The following is an 8,565-nucleotide window of genomic DNA, read 5'->3' as shown; positions in this document are numbered from 1 at the left end:
CAGCTGGCTTACTTGATGATTTGAGTAGTACAGAAAACAAGACAAATGGCCAGGCATGGTGGCGCATGCCTGTAATCCCAGAACTTTGGGAGGCAGAGGCAGGAGGACTGCTTGAGCCCAGGAGTTCAAGACCAGCCTGGGCAACATCCTATCTCTATATAAAAAAAAATTAAAAAGTTTCAAGACAGATGCCCTAAAATCTTAGAAAAGAATTGCCCTTATAGTCTTCTCCATAAAAGTTTTGGAATGTTATGCTTGACTCACCATCAATTGGAAGATTAAAGCTTGCACTGAGAGGTGGTCATGAGGTTTTGATAGTGTGGTTTTTCGCCTCTAGGTATTTGTGCAGGGTGCTAGAAAAGGGAATGAAGCACTTTTCTCCCCGTGTTACCTCTAAGGAGGAATCTGAAATCTAAAACATGTCTGAAGGGCTGCTACTGGTTATATCTAAGTTTAGAGTGCATCTATCAGTTTGTAGTCGAGGAAAAGGTGGTAGAAAGGAGAACTTAGGAAGCAGAGGTAGAAAACAGATTTGCTGTACTGATAAGACAAAAGCTAAACCAGCACATGGATTAATAAGGATACTGACCAACTGGCTATAGAAGGCACTTTCATGACTGTATGGCCATCCAAATTGACAAGCGACCATTAGGAAGCCTGTACCTTTTTTTCTCCAGGTAAATACTACCAGGTTCTAAGTACAATTATATTCAATTACAGTATATTTCACTCTATTATCTACTTTGAGACCCACTACAAATATTATTTAAATGGCTTCGTGGTGATGCTAATAGTTGTATTATTTAGGTATACAGCAGAGGATGGGTGAGAAAAGCAGTTTGGGATTACAATTCGGCTGTGAAGGATAGCCAAGATGACTTCCTGTTCAAACACAAGAATAGCATTTTACTTCAGCCCTATTACAATACCTATTTAATACATTTGCTTACCCTGTAACTATTCAGACAGCACTGTTTCTTAATGTGATTAAAGAACCAAGGAGGTGCATGGTGGGGTTTTTTTGGAATGCAGTTTACCTATAAATTGAAAAGGGAGAAAATCTAATGGAGCTATGCCATCCAATAACAATGCTGATGAACTGGAAGTATTTCTTCCATCCCGCTATTCCTTCACCTCAAAAAAAGGTAATATAGATTCAGAAACCCATTTACTCTGTGAATTCAGATCATGACTTCTAAAAGATTGTTTTACCAGTATTGATACGCTACTATGTTGTATAGCAAGGTAAAGTCAGTTTGAGAGCTTCTGTAGAGAAATCCCCTTGCTAAGTGTGATATAATTACCTCACAGGTAAGAAGTGGTTCATGCAAAATACCCAGCTCACACTAGATATATTGAGACATGAGTTAAAACAGATTAGTTCACTACGTTATTTTGTGCATACATACCAAATTATCAAATGTAGCTGACCAAGTGTGGCTGAACAAATTGTTGATTGTTAGCACAAGAAGGTCTTCCTAGAGTTTTTTATGAGGCTAGTTTTCACATAGGTTGTTACATGTATTTTTTTAAGTAAATAATTCATGTCTACTACGTGACTATAAGTTGAAAAACAAAGATGTGTAACATCTAACATAAAAATCAATACTAAAACTTGTTATATACTTAAATAGCTTCAATTTCTCAGCAGAACAGCTTTTAACCCATTCCTTACACACAGTTTATTTATATGACAACTTGAACACATCTGACATGTTAATGAAAATAAATTATTTAAACCATTTATACACCTGATATGTATACTAATTTCTTCCTATCAGGATAATAAAAAAAATCACTTCTATTTTATGTTCATTCAAATTTGCATTTAATTTCTATTTACATTCATTCAATCCAAAATCAAATAATACAGTAAACTAAATACAAGATGAAAAGCAGAAAAGCACAGCACTCCTGATAACGCAGCTGAATAGTTTTATTTACTGATAGATGCAAAGCCAACTTGGGATAGGAGAAACAATAATTTAAAGCGCAAACACAAACATACACGAACCCATCTTTCAGATGTTATTCCAGATAATCCACTGAGATAATACTTGTGCTATAATGTTAAGAATCACACAAGAAAAAGTACTGTATTAATCAACAACAGACCACAGGTTATGTGTGACAAATACTTTTATGATAGTTTGTCCAGCTTGCTAGTGTCTACTCCTATGAAAAAAGGTAGATGTTTGGACATTGATGTTTTTGAGAAATTAACCATTTTCAAAGCCTCAAAATCTATTCTTCATAAATTCAACATTTCTCATGGGAATAATCTTAGATCTAGCTCTTCTTGTAAACTAGGAACCATATGATTAACTGAATATTCAAAACAGGTCCTATATCAAATATATAATCCAAGGCTCAATATATTAATGCTATCTAAAATGCATCTTGTTTATAATCACTTATTACCTATAGTAAAGAATGTTGACATTTTGGAGTATCATACATGCATCCTCCACCCCTCCCCTCAAATTATCTTCTATCTCAAAAAATAGTATGGAAAAATCCTTCTTGAAGGATTCAAATTAGTTAAGACCATAAAAGGGGAAAAAGAACATAATTTTCCTAAAAATCTGGTTCAAAGTTCAATAATTAATACTTTACATTGTTAATCACAGCTGGTTTATAAGTCCCAGTTTAGTTATTCTGTAATGCTACAAACCTTATAAAATCAAATTAGTAAACTTCAATTCAGTGATTATATTTTACTTAAAAAACAGCATGTATAAAATAAAAAAAATCCTGTAATAGCTGATTTTAAAGAAAGTAAGTGATGAAAAAGAAAGCACTTAAACTCTTTTATACACTTAGTATAATCATAAAGAACCCTCTTAGAAACTGAAGACTGGTAATATTGACTTCATATTTTAAACTATGCTTGGATTTTTACAAATAAAGATAGATAAGGCATATTGCACGGGTGTGTGCTTTCTGTGACACTAATGTGACACTTGACACGTTTTCACAGTCATAGTAGGGATATCCATTTATGAAACAAGTTCTCAATAAACTTTCCACAGCATGGGAAATTAATTTCACTTAATAAATGTGAAGTCAGAAAAACTATGTATTTGTGTGGATGGTAGCTGTGCAATTAATGCTTTTTATGCAGAAAAGTTGCAGCGTTTGCCACTATTGCTGGCACTACTAATTATCAAAATGGTTTAACTGGGGTGGTTATAGCCAGCCAATCACAGTGCTCATGTTACTAGCAAATAGGACCTAGGAGGAATATTTTGGTGTATAAGTTTCACTGGAATTTGGTCAGGCAGTCAACACTACAGTTAGTAAACATATTTGAAAACAAGTATCAAGAGTATCACAAGCCATTTACAGTCTGAAATAATGCCTGTACACGTCACCATAGCTTTTCAGGTTCTGTTTTTTCAGACATCACAAATTGTCAGAGAACAAGGATCTACACTTTAAGTATAATTTCTGCCCTTAATTATTATTGTAGCTTCTAAGTTACCAGCAACAGTCATAAAGTTCTCAGTAGGCTGCTGCAATAAGGGAGGAGGGGGAAGAGGGAGTGATTTTTTTTAAAAGGCTTTCTGTCCAAAGATGAACTTTTATCGATTCTTTCAATTATTGCCACAATTGAAAAGGTATATTTCCAATCATTTTTCATGGTTCTGTTTTTGCTTACTGTCATAGGATTTCATCCCATCTCATTTGAGTTGCAATTTCAAAAAGCAAAGCCTTGCTCTTTTCTGACTGAATTCATCATGCATAAAGAATTTTATGGCTTGGATCCTATGGCTCAAAAAGGATCTATTTGAAAAAATCCTAGGGTTGCAAAATATTACAGATTGACTGCATGCTCAGACTGAAGACATTATAAAAGACAAACAAAAAGAGGTGGTAAAACTCAACTGCAACTGCATGATCATCTGTTATACCAGTATGCACTGAAATATATTTTTACAAAGCTCTGCAGATATTAAACCCTTTCACTAGCTAAAGTCATGGAAATGCTCTCTTTAAGGCAGGAAATATTTAAGGAAGGTAAAGTTACCTTTACTTTTATTCTTTGTACCTGTAAATCATTTATGTAGATTTGGTTATAATTTCAAAAACATAGTGTCCTGTTAACATGTTTCCTAAATGAAGCCACTAAGTTTTCTTATTTACTGTGGAAGACATTCATCAAAAGGCCATCAAATATTTTTACAATAAAAAAATGTAGCCCCAGTATAGGAGAAAAAAAAATAGACCTTTTTTTCTTTTTAAAACTGTTGAGGAGAAAAATATAAGGAAGGTAGACAGTAGAAACAGTAGAAAGAAATAAAACTGAAAATCTTACCAATTTGCTGTGAAGAGATTAGACAGAGAGTGGGCCACAGCAACACCCTCTTCCCCTGGATATCCCTATCTCTCTCACCTTGCCGACCGCAGTATGTATTTTTTATCCTGACTCTCTTCTGTTGTTCTTCAGCCATGGGCTGAACACATTTGGCGTCTTGAACCAAATACTGGTGTAAGAACAGGTGGCGATTTTTTTTCCAGTGCAATGCAGGCCCGGGACAATGATGAAATGTAGGACATACAACTTATGCCCATTCCAAGGCTTCCAGTTAAGCTTAGCACATAGCAGTACTGCAAGTAGAAATGATTAAATAGATTCTTTTTTTTTCTCATATTACAGACGAGTATTGCAGCTGGGTTACTGAAAATAAACCCCAGGTCCACCCCAGTCCCTCGAACGAGCCACAGATGTGGTTAACAATGATTCATTTGCATTTTATTATTTCACCAAGAGAAGAAACGGAAGTTGTTTGGCTTTCTTCACACCAACTAATAATTTCGCATTTTAAAGTTTGGGATGTTTTTCATAATGAGCTGAATCAAAAATCTACTTGAAAAATATATATTTATATAAAAAAAGATTCAGGTTATGTTCACGTAAAACATCAATTGGTAAGTTTCTTTTGTCTTTGATTCCATGTTGCTGGAAAAAGTTTGACCAAGCTTGCATGCTAATTTGTCCTTAGTTGCAAGTATTATAGGCAATTTTGTACTTTGCCTAATGAAAGGATAACCCTTCTTCGACACAGTTAGAACTCAACAGTGATTCAGAAGCAACATCCTACCCTTAATACTGTCAGTTTCGAGTCATCAACATGAAAATCCTTGATAAGGTTGAGAAGATGTCACGAGGAAACAATTAATTGATGTGCCTGAGTGTTCAGCAGTACTATTTTGCTTTAAGTTTTTTTGCACGATTGATTGATTTTTTTAAAATCCATGTTTATTTTTCCTCTGTCCAAAGTGTTCTATGTAATGACACTGACTCTCTGAAATTGTCACTTTGAGTCTTGTTTCACCCTGTAGGATGCTCACACATCGGCCTCTCCACCTTTTTTGCCTTAAATTCATTAAAAGCATTGCTGTGGCATAGATTCATACGCAGGTGCTCTGGCCGTTTGGAGATCATGGGAAAAGCTTGTTTTTTGTATGGCCCAGAGTTCGGCTGTCGTATTGGAAGTGGTGCCAATGCTTCCCCACTCGTTGTCACATCCATCTGCTCTGTGCCACTTGTTTCCATTGGGTATTCCACAGGTGTCTGAGGATTTGCTGTGCTGGCCGAAGCGCCTCTTCCCCAGAAATCCCCAGGAGAAAATTGGGCTTTAAGACAAGGAAGAGCTGTCATTCATTTGTTTAAGGGTCATCTCAACAGACATATTTCCTTTACATTTAAAGGGAGTGGCGTAATATGACATTTATTTTCATTTAATTTTATTTTCATGTGGATTAGCACAAAGGCAAAAGTTGAACCATCTCTCCCCCGCCTATATTAACTGCTAGAATTTCCTAACTGGTCTCTTTACCTCTACACCTGACCCCCAAAACCCTCAATGAGATATATATATATTTAAATACATAGTATATATATCATTTTACTCTCCCCTGCTCAAAACAGCTTTCTATTGCATTTAAAATAAAATACTTTTCCAAACCTCTGCCCGTCTCTTCACTCACCACACACTCCAGGAACATTGATCTCCCTTTCATTTCCAGGAAAAGGCAACTTTTCTCCTCCCTCAGGGCTTTTGCATTTGCTGTTCTTCTGCCTGTAACATTCTTATACCTCCTATTTTTGTAGGGCTGGCTCTTTCTGTTCACTGCTAGATGTTACTACACCAGGGAGGCCTTTCTCTGACCACTGTGAGTAGAAGCCCCCTTGTTTTTCCTCTGCTCTCTACCACTACATTCTTTCTTTCCCCTTTTAAATCATAGCACTTAGCACTACTTGTAATTGTATTTTTGTATATCCTTTGTCTATTGTGACTCTCCCCCTAAATTGTAAGCTTCATCAGGACAGGGACAATTCCTGTATTATAGTACTATATATATACACACTCATATATATACACACATACATAACATGCAGCATGTAGTGCTGGTGCTCTTGGTACACAATAAATGCTGAGTGAATGGATAAAGAAGACATCTGCCAGTGTGGCTGCTTACTTTCAGGAGGGAAGGTAAACCATATAACATCATAGATTAGTCAGACTAGTCCTTTGCAATGTAAGATATAGATGCTGTGCTTATGTCAACCAAAGAGAATATGACAGTCTTTCATTTATGTAACTTGGCATAAATTTCTTAAGTAAACACTCTTGTAGGTTGTAAAAAAAAAAAAAAAGTGAAAATAAGAGTGTGACATACCTGACAGGTGTTCGTGGGCTGCCAATAAATCTTCGAGGTGATCGGATTTTTGGTTCAAAGGAAAACTTTTCTTTCACACTTCAAGTACAGATGGAGCCACATAAGTAAAACCCTGAAAGACAGTAACAGTGGACTACAGAATGGCATTTTGTCATATATCTCAAGAAAATGGGGTTGTTCAGTCTGACATACCTACACAGCGATGCACACCTAAAACCACCAATGTGTACAGTCTCCCACGTCCTCAACCTCATTTTTAGACCTGTTAACTTCTTTCCAGCCATTTCGTGAGGCACACACTTCAAGAAAGCAGAATTCTATTGAGCTTGATATGCTAGCAAACAAAATTCCACCCTACTGACAGGAATCGAAAAAAAGGAAAATTCAGGCTCCATATGAAGATGTTAAATACGGCCAGGCACGGTGGCTCACGCCTGTCATCCCAGCACTTTGAGAGGCCAAGGCGGGCAGACCACCTGAGGTCAGGAGTTCAAGACCAGCCTGGCCAATGTGGTGAAACACCATCTCTACTAAGAATACAAAAATTAGCCGTGCATGGTGGTGCACGCCTGTAATCCCAGCTACTCGGGGGGCTGAGGCAGGGCAATCACTTGAACCTGGGAGGCAGAGGTTGCAGTGAGCAGAGATCGCACCACTGCATTCTAGCCTGCACAACAGAGCAAGACTTCACCTCAAAAATTAAAAAAAAAAAAGATGTTAAATACTAGGAGAAATGTAAAGAAACTTCTAGTGTTTCTAGCCACAGGCATATAAGCAATTAAGTTTATCACCCCAAAACAGTTTCTCATAATTAGGTCAAAGTAAAAACAATTTTTTGATTTGGCATCAAAGTCAGATCTTGTGATCTTTCTGGTTTATGGCAATGATTGGACAGAACTTGTTTTTTGTTTTAAGAGATGGGGTATCCCTATATTGCCCAGGCTGGAGTGCAGTGGTGATATCATAGCTCACCACAGCCTCAAAGTCCTGGAGCCAAGCTATTCTCCTGCCTCAGCCCCTCAAGTAGCTGGGACTATACAGGCATGTGTGATCTCTGCCCAGCTAGAATTTGGTATTTTCTTGATGAATAAGTATCAACATTTCAAAAACCTTCGTTTGTAATAGGCAAAAATGCAGTTTTGTTCGTTTTAGTTCTCTCTTGGGCCTTACTATTAGGCTACCAGCTGTCATTTCTCTTACTGTCAATATTCATTCTTTTAACCATCTTCACCTATCCTCTCTTCTATTTATCAAAATCTATGAGTAAGCATTATGTGTTACAATAAATAAGACTCAACAAAGCTCTGGGTGAAGGCCCAAAGAGTGCAATTCTGAAGTGCATATGATTTGTGACAGTTATATGTGAACTTCAGAGAATAATTTTACAAACATTCTAGTGGACTAAAGCCGTAACTACCAAGAGGTACAGGCTGTGCCTTAATCATCTTTGAATTTCCTCTAATTCTGTGATGGGGTCTTACAACAGGAATTGAAATATTTGTTGAAATGAGGTTGCTAGAACCACATTATCCAGATAAGTGGGATGTCACTATATATACATATACATACGTATATATACGTATGTATATATATACACACACATATACACATACGTATATATACACACACATATATACACGTATGCATATATACACACATGTACGTATATATATACACACATATATACACGTACTTATATATACACACACATATACATACGTATATACACACACATATATACGTACGTATATATATACACACACATATATATACGTACGTATATATACACACATACATATATATGTACGTATACATATACACATATATACATACGTATATACACACACATATATACATATATACACACATATATATACA

General features: G+C 36.3%; 1 pseudogene across 1 annotated transcript in view; it reads right to left on the bottom strand.

Annotated features, from left to right (window-relative positions):
* Positions 1,805-8,565, bottom strand: part of LOC100287072 (ribosomal protein S6 kinase B1 pseudogene) — a 107,286-nt pseudogene continuing 100,525 nt past the window's right edge. The window contains exons 13-14 of the transcript NR_172472.1: positions 6,688-6,799; positions 1,805-5,640 (exon numbers count right to left, since the gene is read on the bottom strand). The product of NR_172472.1 is annotated as a ribosomal protein S6 kinase B1 pseudogene (transcript). The remainder of the gene's footprint in view (positions 5,641-6,687; positions 6,800-8,565) is intronic.

Source organism: Homo sapiens, chromosome 17 (assembly GCF_000001405.40).
Source record: "Homo sapiens chromosome 17, GRCh38.p14 Primary Assembly".
Classification (NCBI taxonomy): domain Eukaryota; kingdom Metazoa; phylum Chordata; class Mammalia; order Primates; family Hominidae; genus Homo; species Homo sapiens.
This window is presented reverse-complemented; position numbering and strand designations above follow the sequence as displayed.